This window comes from Homo sapiens, chromosome 11, assembly GCF_000001405.40.
Source record: "Homo sapiens chromosome 11, GRCh38.p14 Primary Assembly".
In the NCBI taxonomy this organism is placed as follows: Eukaryota; Metazoa; Chordata; class Mammalia; order Primates; family Hominidae; genus Homo; species Homo sapiens.
In genome coordinates, this window is record NC_000011.10 from 94,800,339 (window position 1) to 94,820,389 (window position 20,051).

Consider the following 20,051-nt stretch of genomic DNA (forward strand, 5'->3'; position numbering starts at 1 on the left):
CGGCTTTTCAAAATTCAATAGTCATGTTATTAGCATTTATTATTTTCAGAGCAGATTAGGTTTTTGTCATCAGGCTTTTTTCCTTATGCATGATATTTAATAAACCACTTTGTGGCCAGAATATATAGGGTGAAATAGAGTAGAGGGCAACTGAGGGATTTTCTCCAAACATAGCAGCAGGCAGTTGGGGATTTATGAGTTTAGGGGAGGGACCTCACTTGTTAGCTGTCCTTGGGAGCTCTGCCTAGTGGCCTGGCAAAGTAGCAATTTTCCAATGGCTTTGTGGAGACCGTCCAAACTCCTGGAACATATTATTACCAGAGGGTTTTATAGTCTTTTTTCATTGTAGATTTTAAAGGAAAATGTAGTCTGAATGCTAGAATGGAGGAGTTAAAGGGACTGTAGAAATCACATAGTCCCATCCCTCACTCAACAGATGAGAAACTAAAGCCTGGAGAGATTAATGAATTTCATAGACACAACTCTGAGGCAGCTGGGGGCTACACTCAAGTATCCTGACTGCCAAAATCTATTCACTCCCTTGCCCTAATTCTTCCTACAGCCTTCACTTGTATTCTTCCAGTTGATTGATGGATTCAGCAGCACCTACTGAGTGTATGCTGTACTCTGAAGCCCTGTTCCTGGTTCAGAGATGGGGTCCCTGCCCTTCAGGACCCTATAGCATTGTCTTGGAGGAAACCAGCATCTGAACAGATCATTGCCATTCAATGTGCTGTTCTAGGAGAGAAATGGGCCGAGGATGCTAGGGTAACAGGTAGGATAGTATAACTCACAACTGGAGGGGCTGGAGAGAGCTTCCCAGAGGAGGTGACATTTGAGTTGGAACTTGAAGGATAAATCAGAGTTGTAGGGTAGAGATGAAGTAGCAGTATGTGCTGTGTGAGGGAGTGCCGTGTCTTCAGACAAAGAGGTCATGAGGATTTTTGTCTGGAATGAGTGGCAATAATGCAGAGCACTGGTGGGCAAGGGTGTGGTAAGAAGTGACAGGAGATATGTTTGGACAGGGAAGTTGGGACCCGTTTGGTTGAGGTATGTTTGGACAGGGAAGTTGATGATGACGGTCTCTGGGTGTCGTATTAAGGAGTTTAGAATGTATCCATAAGCAATCGGGAAAAGCGGTGTTCTTAGGTAGGGATGGTAAGTGGATGTCTAACAGCTGATTTTGGTGGCAGTGCATGAATTAGAGGAAAGGGAGCCCCACGCCACAAGGAGCTCCAGGGATGCTTTCAGTAGTCCAGATCAGAATTGGTGAGGGTGGCCAAAGCTTGGGCAGGGAGAATAGAGGAGCATTATGTGCTAAGAGAGGTAGGGAAATAGAACTGACAGGGTTTAGGGATTGGTTAGATACAGAAATTCTGGAATAGGGATGATGGAAATAAGGGAATTACGAATCAAACTCTCAGGAGAGAAATTGGGTCTGAAGATCACACTTTGGGAGTCAGAAATGTTTAGATGTTGCTGACATTGAAGGAGGGGCAGGGAACATGAACAGAAAAGACATGTGGCCACTGCCTATTATTGGATGTGTCATTTTCATGAAGGGCTTTATTATCTGTTTCTAAATTGAACAAGCCAGGGTTTTCCCAAGCGACCTCAGTGGCTATGTGCAGGACATACCTTGGCTGTACATCTTCTGAAAAAGGAGAGGCTGGAGGTTGGCAGAGGGAGAGTGGCCTGATCTGCCACTGGCTTCCCAGCACTGACACATTTCCCCACATTAGACTGAGAATGCCAGCTCAGAAGCAGCATAACCAACTGTGAGATCTTGGCCAGGCAGGAGAACGCATTCTCCCTAAGTGGGCATAACCGGACTCCTCCCAGGAATCCAAGATGGGATCCAGGAGGCTCTTCTTCCCCCTTTATAGCTCCTTGATCAAATCCCTGGTATTTGCATCACAGTGATTTACCACAGTTGTTTAAAATAAGCCATGATGTTATTCCACCATCATACCAGAGTTTGGCTTATTATATTTCACCCTTTTCCCTGATAACTTAACTCAGCCTCTAGAGCTTGATAGAGGGGAAGCTATCCTGAAATGAAATCCCCTTCCTCTTCTTTGCTTTACTATTTGTAAAGTAATATGTACATACCGTGCAATGCATACAGTGGATCACTTTGCCTTTTGTCATTTGGTAATAGGTGTGATGTGAGGTGGGAGAAATGGTCAGGGGAGGAGGGGAACACTTTTGGAGGTCATTTTTCTCAAAGTTATGACGTTAGAAAGAAGAAGAAATGTGTGAGGGATTTGAGCTGACTGCCAGGCTTGGCAGCTGGTTAATATGACGCATCAAATGTCTCAGGAGACGTAACAGACAGGCCATTGAGGCTGGGTCCCAGAGCCACAAGGCCCCTTTGTGAACAGGGCCATGGCTAGCCAGCATGGCTCCAGTGGTGCAGCCCTTGGCTGACTGGGTAAACAATATTGCATCCACACCAGCCCTGCTTCAGACACATTTAACGTGGCCTGAACTCGAAGGATTGGACCTGAAACTCAGCAGTGTGTCATGTTCAACTTGCCTGTGACCCAGAAGACAAGTAGGGCCCCTTTCATTTCACTGACACATTATCTTGTGCTTAAAGGGTTATCTGTTTGTCATTGATCGTGATGGTTTAGGAAGCTGCAGGCCATTGTGTACATACGTACAACCACATAGACTCTTGGACTAGAAAGAGACGCCTCTGATGGAGATCATGGAGTCCATCTCCCTGGCTGGTGCCCATACTGGTGGGCTCAGTATGTAATGAGTACTCAGTAGTTTGGTCCAACCCATTACATTGTTGAGACTTCACTCCTTTTTGCCTAGAGGTAGAAAGCTCCAAAGAGACAAGTGATAGAACTTATGAGAAGAATAAGAATTTGAGTTTTTTGTGATCACTCTTGACTCACCATAGCTTACAAATTCTCTCACCTGCTCTGATGCGCCCTAAAGATGGAGATGTCTGGTAGGTGATTATAAGGCCCTTTAGGCCCCTTTCCTGGGAACCCTCTGGGAGATGAGGCCTTGACCTCGTTGACTTGACCCACCTTGGCCCATGTGGGTGAGCTACTGTGGCTGGTGGGGATGGGAGTGCTAAGGCAGCAGGGGCCTGCAGGGAACATGTGTTGGCTAGGGATGAAGGCTCTGGTTTTCCTCTTGTTCTACTATACTTTTTCCTCAACCTGAAAGTGTAAATGGATAAGAATGAGGACAAGATGGGAATTAAACAGGTTGTTACTGTGGAGAATTGTGACCACTCCCAACCCCCCAAGCAAAGGCAAGCATTTGGATATTACTTATGACTCTTTGTGGAAACAGACCACTTCTAGAAGTAGTGACTTGGCTTATGCAATCTGCACTGTTAATGGAAATGAATGCATGAATGAATACCAAGGGATGATCTAATTTTTATCAAAGCAGTTTGGAGTATATTAGTCAACATGCATATTTGTTTTCCAAAGAAATCCATATTTCAAAACATTTGGGAACTAGAGATGCTAAAAAAATTACTTAAAATATCCTACTTTCCTAATACACCCACTAACATTTTTCCTGTACAAATTAATTTTTTCACATTATAATGATAAATTATATTGTTTAGTATCCTCGCTTTTGAAAGATAGCATTGTATCACAAGCTTTTTTCCACAATCCTTTATTTTTTCAAAACCAACATTTTTATTGCTGTATAATATTTCATAAAGTATACCATTTACACCATTTTCTCCATGATAGAGCGAACATCATCATGCATATCAAATTATCTATGTTTTGGCTTCCTTAGGAATCATTATTTAGAAATGAAATTATTGGGTAAATTATAATAAACATTTAAAAGCTTCTGATGCCAGAAAACCTTGTAAAAATATTACGGTGCCTGTTTTACTGCACTTTGACCAACGTTAGTTATTACATCATTATAATTGCAAAATCTTTGCTAATTTAATAGGCAAATAGTGTTTTGTTGTTGTTGTCTTGAGATGCCTGTCGCTCAGGCTGGAGTGCAGCAGTGCAGTCACAGCTCACTGCAACCTCTGCCTCCCAAGCTCAAGTGATCCTCCCATCATAGTCTCCCCAGTAGCTGCGATTACAGGCATGTGCCACCGTGCCCAACTATTTTTGTAATTCTTTTTTGGTAGAGTTGGGGTTTCACTATGTTGGCAAGGCTGGTCTTGAACTCCTGGGCTCAAGCAGTCTACTCACCTTGGCCTCCCAAAGTGTTAAGATTACAGGTGAACACTGCACCCTGCCTGCAAATAGTCTTAACTTCCTATTTGAATTTGTTATAACTGGCTAGGTTAATTTTGTGGGGAAGGGAGTATGTTTTGCTATTTAGACTTAGTTGATCTCAAAAATAGGCTTTTTGTGTTTCTTGTTCCTAAGACTTATATATTATAATGGACTCAGCATAAACTAAAATCTGTTTTTTCTAACACTTGCTCTCATTGTCCATTTTCTAGAACTCTGTCTTCACCCTTAGCAGGTGAGAATGGAGTAGTTGTGGTGGTGGTAGTCATAGCAGGAGGGTGAAACCTTCACCGAATGCTGACTGTGTGCCAGGCACTTTGTGTGGGTTACTTATCTTCCTTAATCTTTACAACTCTAAAGGGTGGGTACTATTATTATCACAATTTTTACATACAATAAAAACTTAGGCTTAGAGAGGGAGGTTAACTAACTTGATCAAAGCCAGCAGCTTGCAAGTGCAGGAGCCAGGTGCAGACCTGGAATGCTTTGCTGCACACTGCGTCTCCCACGAGTGTAAACACTTGGCCACTGTACTTTGCAGTGGAGCCGCAGATTTAAGCTTTCACTTGGGGTCACTAAATCTGGTGAATTTCTAATCAGATTTATAGAATATATCACATGTGATGTCCAGCCTGTGCTCTGCCCACCTTCTGTTTTTTTCAACAGGACCAGAATTCTGGTGAAGTATTCTAGACTCTAGGAAGAAAGCTGTCTGGATACCTCTTTTTCTTCAGATATCTGGGAAGACTGTCACAGACCAGACTTAATGGGGCTGACAGCTGTGGGTGTGGGCTTTCGTCTGTCTTTTGGTTTGCTTTCATTTGGAGGTGCTTTCATTCCTAGGGTGAGGGTTGTGGGTTTTCTTTAGATATTTTTATTAGAATGTTTCCATTATGGAAGATGATGAATACTAACTTAAGACTAATTTGTATGTTTTAGGCAGTATCCATTTGGAAAAAGACTAAGAATGACTCCTGTCAATGAAAAGAACACTTAAGGCTCTGTTTCTACTCTCTCAGCCTGTACATTGCCTTTTTGGCCTTTATCTTGGCTCAATCTTGTCTGTTCAGCATAGGGGATTTGATTTACTAGCTTCCGGGAAGTGGAGAGAAGAGTGGTAACTGTTTATTAATATTTTGTTCATCTATGAGTACGTTAATTTGATTTTTTGGTATGTAGATAGATATTTTATAAAAGCATGACATGGTAGTGTTTGGCCCAGCCCTCCCATCCTAGGTTGATGAAAATATAAGATGATGTCAAAGCCAGAGGAGCTGTGGATTTCCTGTCGTAAAGCAGACTTCTTGCCTTGTCCCAGGACAGCCATCACCACCACCTTCTTTCTCATCAGGGCAGGGGGCTTGCAGTGTCATACATTAAGTGAGGGAACCTGTGGTATGACCTATTCCCCAAATCACTATTTTCCTTTAAAAAAATGCATTATGCATTTTCCCCCAGAAAACCTGATTTCTTTTCATTGAGGATAGAGTCAGAGGCACTGACATTCTCTGGGTACATGCCCACTGACAGTGCAGGGAGGAGGGACAAGTAAAGTGGGGGCAGCCCAAGAGTACATTTGGCAAATTAAAGATAACGCCTGTCCTCAGGGAACCCTGTCAGCCCAGCAGTGCAGCAAGTCCAGTCTAAACATGAACAAGCATGAAGATATTTGCTAAATCACAGGCCTTACTCCTAGTGGGCTCTGTGTTTGGAATGTGCCATATTACAAGAAAGAAGGTTTGATGGTCCTGTCTTACTTTGTGTTGGACATGGCTGGAGGAGGGAGGAGAATCTTGGGAGTAAGTATGTGTTTCCAAAATGGGGAATTATGATTTGCAGTTTATGCAATCATGAAAATGAATTGCTTTGTGGGATGAAAAGGTAAGCCAGACCCATGGCTGTTGAATTAAAAATGATGCATTGCCCTTAACGAAAATGAGGCCATGGAGCCTTATTTAAATTCCACCAGCTAAACATGTGTTTTGAATACCAGCATGGGAACTCAGGAGTTTCTCCGGTATTTAGGCCGAATTATGGCTGGATGAAGGAAATAAAATGCCCTGTGTGTCCTGACAAACGGCTCTGCAGCATGGGTATTTCAAGAAGCTAGGGTCAAGTTCAGGTTACTTTCTCAGGAAACCTAACAATTCCAGCTGTAATGTATTAAATGAGTGACTTCTGTAAACAGGAGGGTTATCTGTAGCCACCCTGGATAGCAATGATTTTGATCTTAGTTTACCCAAGAGTAGAGTCTTCATTTGAACAGTTATGAGATTTAAGGTGTCTACATGACCAAAGGGGTCCAGGTGGGAAGTTACATGAGTTTGGAAAAAAAATTTCAGGGGGTTTGGGTTCTGGCTCTTCCTTCCGGTAGCAAATTGCATAAGTTCTCAGAGCCTCAGTTTCCTTATCTGTGAAATGTTACAGCTGATTTTTTTTCCCTAAAACTATTAGGTTGGTGCAAAAGTAATTATGGTTTTTGCCATAATAACTGATTTTCTTCGTTCGATAAATAAAACATATTCATTGCACAAAATTTAGAAATACAGATAACTCCCATTCCGCCCCCCAAAAGAAAGAAAATAGAAATTGCCTCAGTCTTATTATCCAGAGATACCATTGTTAAACCCTCTGTTCACTATGTTGCTTCAAGGACTAGAAAATTATAAGAAAATACTGTAAGTTGCAAAGCTCTATATAAATAAGCGGTATTTTTATTGAGTCAACAGAATTCAAATTTGAACCTCTTCACAGCCAAGAAGCCCTATATTATTTAACCTCATTTTAAATTTCATTTTGTTTACATTTTTTCTGAATATTAAAATAACAATGCTGATTTTTTGGTTTATCCATGTTTTCTAATTTTTCTATAATGTACATGTATTATTTAGATAATAAAATTTTTTTAAGTAGCCATACATGTTCATTGTAGAAAATGTGTAAAGAACAGAAAACTATCAAGAGTAGAAGAAAAATCCATAGTCCCATCACTTGCAGTAATAGCTCCTTCCGGTCTTTTTTTCCTTTTGTAATAGTTCCTTCCAGTCTTTTTTCTCTGCATTATTTTTTACAAAGGCAAAAGCCTAATATATATTATATCTTGAGAAATTTGTTAATATTTCGCTATGGATGGCTACAAGTTATGGAAGGTTGCATATGTCACTGTTACTGATTAGAAGCAGCTGGCTCTTCAGAGGACTGACTCAGCCCTTTGATATGGAATGTGGATGATTTGGGATTTCATGCTAATGCTTAGTATCTAAGCTGCAGTTCCCAGATTGCGACCCAGTGGTTGAGATCAACAGAAAAATGAGTTTCCCAAGTCTTTGCAGAAGAGACACAGCTGTGGTTGGAGAACTACACATCAAGACTTTGTTTGCTTTTGTGAATGGCAAATAAATCTTGGGACCCCAAAATCACTAAGCCAAAGGGAAAAGTCGAGCTGGAAACTGTATCAGGCAAACCCGCCTCCTATTTTATTCTTAAATAAGATAGCTACAAAGACAAAACAAAACAAGAACAAAACAAAAAACTATATACTTTCCTCACAATTTGCCCACAAGGAAATTCCTTATGGACAAAGGACAGACACAACTCAAAATCATCCCTCTGCTTACCTGAGAAATACATGTGATTGCTTCCTCTGCCCTACTGTTTCACTAAGCAAGACTAAGGCATAAGCGACTATTCTTTTACCCTCCTCTCACATGTAAATTGTGTATTCAGTTGAATACTTGAGAAATGTTTTGATTTTAATTTCTCTATTAATTTTGCATAGGAAAATGTCTATTTAGCCCCCTGCATTTTCTCTTTATGAATTACTTCACTACATCCTTTTTCTATTTACCCATTGATTTTTTTTCTTTTCCTGTCATGTTTTGCAAAGTTTTTGTCAAACAAGCCATTTTTTATTACATATTAGCCTAATAGCCCAATTATAAAGGAACATAGAGTTTAATATATTGAGTGTGGCTTGCTGATCACCATTCATGCTTGAGAATCTGGGGACCCCAGAGTGGGAACAGCTAGTCTGTTGCATGAGTTGCTCTGATGCTCACTGAAATCTGGAACTGGCTCTCCAGAACCAGGCCTTCTAGGGTACATGCACAATGGTCTAGAGCAGCTCTCACTGTTCAATAGAAATGTAACATGAGCCACATATCTCATTAAACATTTTCTAGCAGTGACATCTTAAGTTTGAAAGAGACAAATGAAATTAATTTTAAAGCATAGTTTAGTTAACTCATTTAGAAACATTAAAAAAATTTAGTTAACCCATTATATCCAAAATATTGTCATTTTAACAGGTAATCAATATTAAAAACTCTCAGTGAGGTATTTTCCTTTTCTACCAAGTCTCTAAATTCTTTTCTTTCTTTCTTTTTTTTTTTTTTTTTTTTTTTGAGATGGAGTCTCACTTTGTTGCCCAGGCTGGAGTGCAGTGGCTCGATCTCAGCTCACTGCAACCTCTGCCTCCCGGGTTCAAGTGATTCTCCTACCTCAGCCTCCCAAGTAGCTGGGACTACAGGTGCATGCCACCACACCTGGCTAATTTTTGTATTTTTAGTAGAGATGGAGTTTTACCATGTTGATCAGGCTGGTCTCGAACTCCTGACCTCAAGTGATCCACCCACCTCGGCCTCCCAAAGTGTTGGGATTACAAGCATGAGCCACTGCGCCTGGCCCTAAGTCTTCAAGTTCTGATGTCTGTTTTACCCTTAGAGTACATCTCAGTTCAGACTAGCCACATTTCAAGTACCCAATAGCCTAGTGGTTAGTGGCCACTGTCTGGACAGTGTAGGACTAGAAGGAATGTGAATCTGTGTCTGAGAGTGTGTACTGACATGCACTGACATCAGTCCAGAACCATGCTCTGGTTGTGCATGGCATTGCATTCCGTGGTGCTGGATCATGCTGTGATTCCTCACACGGGCTGTAGGGACAGGGACTGTGATTCTTAGCTCATGGTCTCCGAAGAGGAAGGGCAATCCAAGGGTGGTGCTTCTTGCCTTTCTTCTATCATCCATTAGCAGTGTGTGATGATAACAGAGGCTAACGATTCATAACTTTATAGCCCTTATGCCAAATTTTTACATCTAGCAGAGATAAATATTAAGCCACTTTACCAATGAATCTAAACAATAATGTATGTTGACAATTCTGAAGCCATTTCTAATTACATTTCACGAATACTTTTAAAACTAGCTTATTTATTAAAAATTTACTTAAGTCACATAAACTTGAAAAAGCATTTGGCTCAAAGTCTGTTTTTTTTCTGATAAAGTGTTTGATTTAAGCACTTTTTCCTTTAAGCCAATTAATTAGAGCTTTTATGTATTTTTAGTAGTGAAACATATACGTGACACAAATACATAGATATACTAGACACATAGAAATAGATCTTATAGATTCATAACACCTCTTTTTTTTCCTCCTATTTTAGACTTCCAATTTCTTGATAACCTGTTTTATTACTCCAGGCAGATGTCAGCTACATAGCCCTAAATTTGCATATTAAAGGGCCAACTCTTGTGAAAAATCAGATAGTGAAATTTATATCTCAAGGTACAGAGAGAAAGAGTCTGGTGGTACTACAGGGAGATTAAAAATGGATGCCAAGTCAAACATAAAATTACAGAAATCTATCATAGAATTGTATAAGGAAACCAATTTTATTTAGATAGGTAGTTCTAAATTTAGTCTCTGTCTTTTAACTGGATCTGTGAACTCTGGGCAGAGCCCACACTGAATCCTGGGTCTCCAAAAAGAGAACTAGTATGGGGCTAGACCACGTGACGCTTTCATAGTGCACTTTTTTTCAAACAAAGACATTTCTCTAAGTGTCTAAACTACTCTCTTTCTTACTTTAAACACCCCAGAGTAATCTCTGCTACAATAACTATTTTAGTCCAAAAAAAAAAAAAAAAGAAAAGAAATGAGGTATGAGGTAATACACTAGTAAAGCAAGCAGTTTAAGATCTGAGACAAACTTATCTGTTTACACTCTTGGGGTTCCATAAGGAAAAACAGAGGTTTCTCCCCAAAAGGGAGTCTGGTGCCTTCTTTGTTTTCTTTAAGGAATCCTGGGCTATTAGAAACTATTTCAGGTCCCTTATGCAGCAGAGTGTGGCAAGAGAAAGGAGAGAGAGCAGAAGTAAATGGAGAAAACAGAATTCAGTCAACTGAGAAGAGAAAAAAACTTTTTCTCAAAAAAAAAAGAAAGATCCTAGGAGAGAAAAATAAAAGACACACACACACACACACACACACACACACACACACACGCGTACACACACATATCTTGGATATTAGCTTTTAATTGACTGCTAACCATTGAGCTACTTAAGAAAAAAAAATTTTAAGTCTCATTACCATATTTTAGCTAAAACAAATTGCTGATATTTCAAAACTAATACAAATGTCAAACCAGAAAGAGCCTGATTTAGGAACCAATCCCAGGCTATCGTGGTGACAAAAAATTGGGGGCAGAACCTTAGCTACCTTTAGCTACTGAACTGCAGCATGGGGCAACAGCCATTGCTACTTCAGTTTGGCTTGGCTTGTTACATAAATAAAGGTGCCCTTGTTATGTAAATAAAGCCCCTCAAGTGGTCAAAATCAAAAATCTTTCAGGCCTGCTGAAAGTGCTGTAATCCCAGCACTTTGGGAGGCTGCAGCAGGTGGAATGGCTGAGGTCAGGGGTTCGAGACCACCCTGGCTAACATGGTGAAACCCCGTCTCTACTAAAAATACAAAAAAATTAGCTGGGTGTGGTGGTGCACGCCTGTAGTCCCAGCCGCTCGGGAGGCTGAGGCAGGAGAATCCCTTGAACCCAGGAGGTGGAGGTTGCAGTAAGTCAAGATTAATGCCACTGCACTCCAGCCTGGGCGACAGAGCAAGACTCTGCCTCCGAGAAAAAAAAAATTCTTTTTTTTACCTTTTGCTGGCTGTCATTTTCCTTTTCCCATTTTTTTTTTTCAGATGTGGGAATTTAGCCAATTCAGAGGCCTTGTTCCCCATAATTTGAAACTTTCCCTTGGATTTGATCAAGTCAGATAGAGCTGGTCAAACCCAATAGGAAACAGATGGAAACAACAACAGAAACAAACAAGCAACAACAACAACAAAACAGTTATGCAAAACAAACAATCTCACAATTTATACAATTACTGAGCACTTTAAAGTTAAGGAGAAATTAAGACCAGCTGGTTGTTAAGTTTAGCCAAGACAAAACCCCAATTCAGCTACTTACCTAGGAGTGGGGCTCAGGCTAATGACTGCTCTCTACCATCCTATAAACAGGAAAAAAACTCTAACTTGCCTTCCCTGTTGGAAGCAAGCTAAAACTCCAGAAAGGAGTTACCTGCACTCCATCATGCAGAAAAACTTGTCTTCCTTGTTGGAAGAAAGCAAAACTCCAGAAAAGGAGCTGTACAGCAAAATAAACTTTAGATCTCGATCACATTTGGGGAAATCAGGGATTCTCCGGAGGGGAAGTTGCCAGGCCTCAGCAAATTGTCCTATTGATCCGAGCCTTAAAGGTATCTTAAGCTGCTACGAAGCACCCATAGATTTGTCAAAGTACAGGGGAACCACCACTCAGAATCCCTTCAGGTTTCCAATTTGTGAACCCCAAAGTATCTGAGACAGATCTCAGGAAGTTTATTTTGTCAAGCTTAAGAATGCACCCATGACACAGCCAATGAATGTAAGGTGTATATTGGTTTGGTCCAGAAGGGCAGGACAACTTGAGGTGGGGGAGGGGGCTTCCACATTATGGGTAGATAAGAGACAATCTGTTGCATTATTTAGAGTCTCTGATTAGCTTTCAACTGAATACACAATTTACATGTGAGAGGAGGGTAAAAGAATAGTCGCTTATGCCTTAGTCTTGCTTAGTGAAACAGTAGGGCAGAGGAAGCAATCACATGTATTTCTCAGGTAAGCAGAGGGATGATTTTGAGTTGTGTCTGTCCTTTGTCCATAAGGAATTTCCTTGTGGGCAAATTGTGAGGAAAGTATATAGTTTTTTGTTTTGTTTTGTTTTGTTTTGTCTTTGTAGCTATCTTATTTAAGAATAAAATAGGAGGCGGGTTTGCCTGATACAGTTTCCAGCTCGACTTTTCCCTTTGGCTTAGTGATTTTGGGGTCCCAAGATTTATTTGCCATTCACAAAAGCAAACAAAGTCTTGATGTGTAGTTCTCCAACCACAGCTGTGTCTCTTCTGCAAAGACTTGGGAAACTCATTTTTCTGTTGATCTCAACCACTGGGTCGCAATCTGGGAACTGCAGCTTAGATACTAAGCATTAGCATGAAATCCCAAATCATCCACATTCCATATCAAAGGGCTGAGTCAGTCCTCTGAAGAGCCAGCTGCTTCTAATCAGTAACAGTGACATATGCAACCTTCCATAACTTGTAGCCATCCATAGCGAAAGCTCTCAGAGCTACCCCCATTCTCCGCAGGAGGTCACCTAGCCTTATATTTTCCTTTTAAGTATGTTTGCTGAAATGTTTGTGAGCCTGTCAGCCTCTGTAGCTCTCATTTTGTAAGTATTTCTCATAGCCAGGTTTCCTCTGAATGCCAACTCCTAACAGCTGAATGTCAAACTCTAGAAGACAATTTGACAAGGATCACTTCAGCCCTCCCTACATGGATACGCAGACCTTCATAGAGATGGCCTCAGAATAAGTCCAGCAGATCCTAACAGAATAATTAGCCTCAGGCCTTGCTTGGTAACTGAACTCAAGACACTCCATCTGGGCTCAGGATGTGTTTCCCAGCTGGATTTCCTTAGGCCTTCAATTTAGCAGCCCTCCCATTTCATGTTGAAATAACTGGGATCAACGTTCCCCAGGCAAGGTAAAGAACTGGAGAGCTCAGTGCAATTCTTTATTCCATAAGTGACTTCACCTTGCAACCATCCGCAGTTTTCAGAAAGGAATGTTATCAGTGGGCACACCTAAACCATCCCTCCCCTCTCTCGCTACACACCCACTGCATAACCTGCCATCTCTTTAGACACAAAGCATTTCTGCATCTTGGTGAATTTGTGCCCCTTCCACACTGAAGTGCGTGTGAATATACATGTCGTCCCATGTGTACAAGGAAGTCCAACTCCACCACAAGAGTGAAATTCACAATGCCCTGCTTTCACCCCAGGTCACAGGAGCTTCGATCAGGAATGGACCCAAAACACTACACATCTGTCACTGAGTCAGTGCTTCCTGCAGGCTGGCTAAATCCTACAATAATACATTTTTCAGGGAAAAGAGGTTCTCTTGGTAAGAGCCAAAATGCCACAGATTACACCACTGCTTTTGAATGAAAGGGCAGAAACCCATTCCCACCTCCTGAGTATTCCCTTTCACACTTCACTTAATGTGAAGAGGAAACGCAGCTGTCTCCTACAGGCTGAGGGGCACAGATGAGTCTACAACTCCCTCCCCTTCTACTCAGGTAGCTTCGGGTGGGGCTTCTATCTTTTAACATTTATTTAACTCTGGGATTTGGAAGTCACTTATGGTCAATGGGAGCTTATCTTCTCCATCATCTTTTTATGTCAGGTAGCAATTACAAGGAAAACCAAGGAGAGAGGCTGAAATCAGGTGATAGTGCTTTCTTGATGCCAGCATACGTCATCAGTGATGGTGACTAGTTACCTGAATGACAGTGCAGAAAAGGCAGGTTTGCCAAGCTTAAGGGACAGGAAAGAATGGGCTTTTTCAAAATGGGAAATTTTCTATCAAACAGAGAGCACTGGCCTCACAAATAACTCAGTTACGCATTCATGCTAATAAATACCACATTACGATGGACAATGTGCAGGCAGGAGAGAAACTTCTATTCCTTGGCTCCACTGCTCAGCCAGCTGGGGTGAGTGAGCTCAAAGGTCTGTACAAGCAGATCTGAGCTTAGTGTAAACGAGGGAGAAGGAGTGTCAGAAGGGAACAGGACAATTTCACAGAAAATCATACCAGTGCTATGAAACAGCCTATCCTCGGCTTGCAAAGATAATGTTATTGATGGGCCCCTATTACGATAAACACGTGCAAGTAATGGGGACACAAAGAAAAGGGGAAAAGAGAGGATGGGAGCCCACACTTACTGATAAACTACTTGTGACTATAACTCCATGTTCTAATTGTCTATTTGTGAGCCTGTTTCCCTATTAGATTGTGAAATCAGAGAGGAAGCTTACTAGACATCCTGTATCTCCGTTTCATGGGACTATAATGCCACTTATTCAGTTGTCAGAGTCTGATACATAGTAAGCACTGCATAAATGTTAGATATTCTCACCATGATTATAATTATTATCATTGTATCCCACACCCCCTAATACAGAGCTTAGCACTGGGCATTCATGAGAAGCCTGGTAAATTTTTTCTATTACAGCAAACATTTATTGAACACTTTTTACAATCCAGCCACCAGAAAAAAGTAGACTTTGAGCCAAATGCTTTTTCAAGTTTATGTGACTTAAGTAAATTTTTAATAAATAAGCTAGTTTTAAAAGTATTCATGAAATGTAATTAGAAATGGCTTCAGAATTGTCAACATAAATTATCGTTTAGATTCATTGGTAAAGTGGCTTAATATTTATCTCTGCTAGATGTAAAAATGTGGCATGAGGGCTATAAAGTTATAAATGTAGCACAAAAGAAAATTATCTTTTTTTATGTAAACTTTGATAAATAAGGAATTCAGTATTGTTCAGTTAATGAAAACAGCTAAATCCTGAGTTATTGGCAAAAACAAACAAAAAAAAAATTTGTCTAATGTTAAGGTTCTTAGGAAAACCTGAACTCCACAGGTTATAAAATGGTTAACATTTTTAATGATAACTATCACAGTTTTAATAAGTAATCTGGTTGAAAAAACAATTAGTTAGATAAATGTAGTGGAATAAATGCCTATAAATAAACTTATCATATAATTTAAAATCTAAAGTTACATAATACGTATTCATTGAATGTCTGGGTCATTTCCAATTTTTAAATAAATTATAGAAAAATGTTTTTCTATAAAAGAAATGTGTTCTTATTTAAAGGAAAATAATATTTGTCTCATTCAAAGTTTATTTAAAAGTTATTTATAAAACAAGGTAATGGTAACCAGTATATAAAAGCATTGTAAAGAAAATTATAAATATAAAAAGGTATTTTTGGCAAGAAAGGTTAAAAAGGAAAATAATTTTATATGAGAAAGAATCTTGTATGGTAAATTTTTTTCCTAGAATAAAATGACTGGTTAAGAAAGAGGGATATTCAGGACAAACCAGAAAGTCCACGTATGCCATGAATGGTCTGTGTAAGTCATAATAAGGTTTGTAAAAGTAAAGTTTTATGGGGGAAGAAAAACTTTATATGATCAAGTTGTCTGTAATGAAAGAGAAATTATTTATAATGGTCTTTCTAGAGATTGTGTTTTGATATTTTAAAAAAACACTTATGCACTAAAGAATTGGGTAGTACAATGAAACTTTTTTTAAGATATTGATTTACCCTTAACAAAATTACAAGACATTTTAATTTTTTAACCCAAAGTTTAACTTTTATTGTATCTTGCTGTTTCAGCTTCCTCTCCCCTTTTAAAAGCCCCGAAATAGTAAATATCTCCTTCAACTCACTTTTGGCTCCCGTAAGTTTTATTCCTCGGGTGCTGTTTGTTTGTTGTGGCCTTACACTAAAAATGTTTTATCCTAAAGGCCTAAAGGAAATGTCTTCTCCAGCATAACATTCTGTGCTCTTGGCTTTAGATGGTTCTGTGAATCTAAAAATTTTTACTTGTTACCTAAGAAACACTCTTCCTATGTCTAATTGAAGTACGCTTTTTATTAGTTTGACTTTCAGGTTATTGATAATAAATGGATACCCCACAGGGAATAGCAGTGGCACTGCAGAAGATCTTTTCTTTTGCCTTTTGGTAACTGGCCTAACAAACACATTTTATATTTTATTGAAATAATTCCTTTGCCATTGTTATTAAGTTTTGGTTTGCTTAGAAAAAACTGAGATTAAATTTTTTTTTTAATTAAAGTTATCACATCTGTGTAACTTTCTATATTTTGCTTTTAAAGTCCTTGTGTCATTAAGTTATAGAGCTTTGACTTCTGGGGCTAAACAGGACACCAAGTCCTCTTCAGTCTTAAACCCTGACAGCAGTTAAAACCTCATCTTCAGATCCGGTAGAAGATGCCAACCAAAATAAACTGTGTTTGTGAGACACAGGGCCAGAAATTAAAACTATCCAACTCCTCAAGACCCAGAGACTATTGTGGAAGAGGTGGGCATGAGATTGTAAGGGCCAATGTTGAGAGATAAAATTAGTTCAGTTTCTCTATAAAGTAACCATTAATACCAAACGCACACTGATGCAAGACCAGCATATGAGCCTCTGTGTCAGATGAACACAATTTTTTTGGAGCATTAACTCACTCCTTAATAAAAGGTTATAAAGATTATAAAAAGATTTATGGAAATTATATCTTATGGTCAAGATAATTAAAATTTAATAAATTTACTTACAGAATTTTAAAAGACACATTTAATTGGCCTCATGCTGTCTTTATTAGGGCTTGTTGTTTGGGAAGTTAAATTGCTCTCAAAGAATAAAGGTTTATGCTTTTTTTTTTGGAAATCGTTGAGTTATCATTTGGGCTAAATGATTGACTTATTTTATAACAACTTGTGATCCTGTTTTGTGATATGAAGTGTTTTAAACTTTTTATATTTGACACACTTTCTGAAATCAAATTTTAACTTCAGTCCTCATTAATCTTTTGATATTTGGTCCCTTGAAGTCCAAAAAAGACATATTCAGCTTATTTGATGTAATAAAATCATACAGGAAGTAGTGTCAAATATGAAATGGGGTTTATCCTTCTTTGGATTATATTTATATAAATGTGTTATTAGTATGTGTTCCAGAATTGTATGAGATTCCTGTGAGCCTAATATATCTTAGTAAATGTTATCAGTAGTAATGGTGATTCTGATATAAAATTGTATGCCATAGAAGTAACCCAATTTCCTTGTCATTTGCATCTTTAACCATAACTTTTGTCATCTAGTTGTTTCACTTTTATTCTTTTCAAAAGGTGTTTTTTATAATCAGCTATAGGACTCTGACAGTTGTTCTTGAATGCAGGTTTCTGATAACTTTGGAGACTGTGACACTAGAATAGAGGAAAAACTTGCAAGACTCCCATAGAAAGCTAATGTGTTCATAAACATCGAGCAGAACATGACTTAATTACGTAGACTAATGAAAGACTGAAATAATCTTTTTTATGACTTTGTTTGGAATGTTGCTAATTCTTTTGTTTCTGCATCTAGAAAACCCTTTTTCTTTGAGCTGTTTACAGCTTTTAATAATTGGGGCAGCTACACTCCTGTGAGCAAAATCTGAAGCATATATCTCTCTACCTGATTTCTCCAGAATTTGAAAACTATTTGCAAGTATATTTAATTTATAGCAGTATAGTTATTTGCATAAGTTCAATAAGAATCTTTTTCTTTGTAATAGGACACAATTGGAGACACTGGTTATTTTACCAAGGCTTTCATTGGAATGGCATACTTTTAGATAGAACCAGATTGCTTTAAGGAATTGAGGTTGACTTGTAGAGCCAAATAAAACCCTTTGGGAAAGCTGGCCTTATACCATGTCTACACAGTCCCTGTACAGGTTCCTGACCTGCAGTAAGTAAAGAATGTCACTTTCTGACAGGCCCAGGAGCCCTAAGTTTTCTTGGGCCCTTGAGGTGAGGAATTCACCCAATTAGTACAGGTATTTGCAGGCACAGGCTGAGCTCAAAGCATTGAAGTCTAATCTGAGTTTCCTTGTGGAATAAAGTTGCAGTAAAGCCAATTAAAAAGAAAACAGCCTATATGGCAAATAATTTTTTTTTGCTGACTTTATGCAAATACTCAGGCCAAGTATAGTAAGACCAACAGTTATTTTACACATAAATTTGTCTTGTGATTTGTCTTTAGTGAAAATGGGGACTGGAGAGAGAAAAATTATGTTTCAAAATAAACTAGACTACACCTGTTATTAGATTCTAGTCTTGTCTAATGTTTTTCAATGTTTATTATTTTCTATAGTTTGGACTGAATTCTAAAGTTTTTCCTGGCTACACGTCTCCAAAGTAATGTTTTTAATTGATTTTTTCTTTCTTTCCTGTCCTATTTTCCCTCCATTTTTTTCTTGATTTAAAATCCCTAAAAATGAAGCTGTGCTTTCTTAAAGCCCTGCAAACTGAAGCTAGACAACTTAAGCTACAGAAGAAAATAACAGCAACTTATTTACATATATAAACCACTTTCATACCTGCCTATTGATGTGTGGACTTCAGATAATATGGCCTATATCAATTTTCCGGGATTGTTCTTCATCTTTTTTGTTTGTTTTTTTCTCTTCCTCCTCCTATTTTCTCTTCATAGGATATGAGATTTCACAACCTACTAAAAATGATCTTTCCTAATAACCTGACACCTACCTTTCTAGGAGTAAACTGTCCTAGTTATGAGAGATCAGACAAAACCTGAGACCAGAGGCTCATTCATTTTCTTATAAAATGCTTTTTTGGAAAGATGTGAAAGCAAAATAAATCTCAGAACCCCGAAATCAGTAAGCCAAAGGGAAAAGTCAAGCTGGGAACTGCATCAGGCAAACCTGCCTCACATTTTATTCTTAAATAAGATAGCTACAAAAATATAAAAAAGCCACATACCTGCCTCACAATTTCCCCACAAGGAAACTCCTTGTGGACATAGGACAGACACAACACAAAGTCATCCCTCTGCTTACCTGAGACAAATGCATATGTGATTAGTTCCTCTGCCCTATTTTTTTACTAAGCCAGACTAAGGTGTAAGTGACTATTCTTTTACCCTCCTCTCACACGTAAATTGTGTATTCAGTGAAAAGCTAATCAGAGACTCAAAATAATGCAACCAATTGTCTCTTTATCTACCTATGACCTAGAAGCCCCTTCCCCCACTTGGAGTTGTCCAGCCTTTCCAGACCAAACCAATGTTCATCTTACATACTGATTGACGTCTCGTGTCTCTCATGTCTCCCTAACGTGTATGTAACCAAGCTGTACCCAGACCACCTTGGGTAGATGTGGTCATGACCTCCTGAGGCTGTGTCATGGGCACATTCTTAACCTTGCAAAATAAACTTTCTAAATTGATTGAGATCTGTCTCAGATACTTTTTGGTTCATACCCTTTATATTTCTAAATGTTGTTAGGAGCCCTTGGCTTAGGTTGAAAGAAAATACAGTGATTCTTAGGAAACAGGTTAACTGAATAGTTAGGATGGACTTGTTAGGAATGGGGACGGGGATGGAAATTCATGATCTCAAAGATAGGAGCTAATACTAGGTATTTGAGCTATGAAGGGACACCCTTATGTGTTCTTTTTGACATGGCTAAAGTTAGACTCTTGAGCTCTAGACCTCCCTTACCTCAGCAAAACAAATCAGTTTCTCCCCAAGACTTCCCACTTCATTAAATGGTGCCCCTATCAATTTGTGTAGAGCCCAAAATCTAGGAGTAATTTTTAATTTTCCCGACTTCCCTTCTCCCCATCCATGATATATACAAAATGAATCCCAATTTCTGAGTGTTTCTCTTCTGCCACTACTCTGAGCTCTCCTCAGTTCTCACCTAGACCACACCTGGGCCTCATTGGACTCCACACGAGTGTTCCTGCCACCATGCACTGCATTCTGTGCACACCACAGGAGAGGCAGCTCCTCCCCTGGCCTCTGTACACTCCAAGGTAA

At 39.1% G+C, this 20,051-nt stretch overlaps 1 protein-coding gene across 11 annotated transcripts in view; it reads left to right on the top strand.

The window, feature by feature from the left end:
* Positions 1–20,051, top strand: part of AMOTL1 (angiomotin like 1) — a 170,289-nt gene that overhangs the window by 93,879 nt on the left and 56,359 nt on the right. The window contains exon 1 of one of the 11 annotated variants that reach the window (XM_011542628.3): positions 1–20,047. The exons of the other annotated variants lie outside the window; for them this stretch is intronic. Coding sequence (XP_011540930.1) covers positions 19,983–20,047 — 65 coding nt within the window. The 5' untranslated portion in view covers positions 1–19,982. The remainder of the gene's footprint in view (positions 20,048–20,051) is intronic. 11 annotated transcript variants of the gene reach the window in all.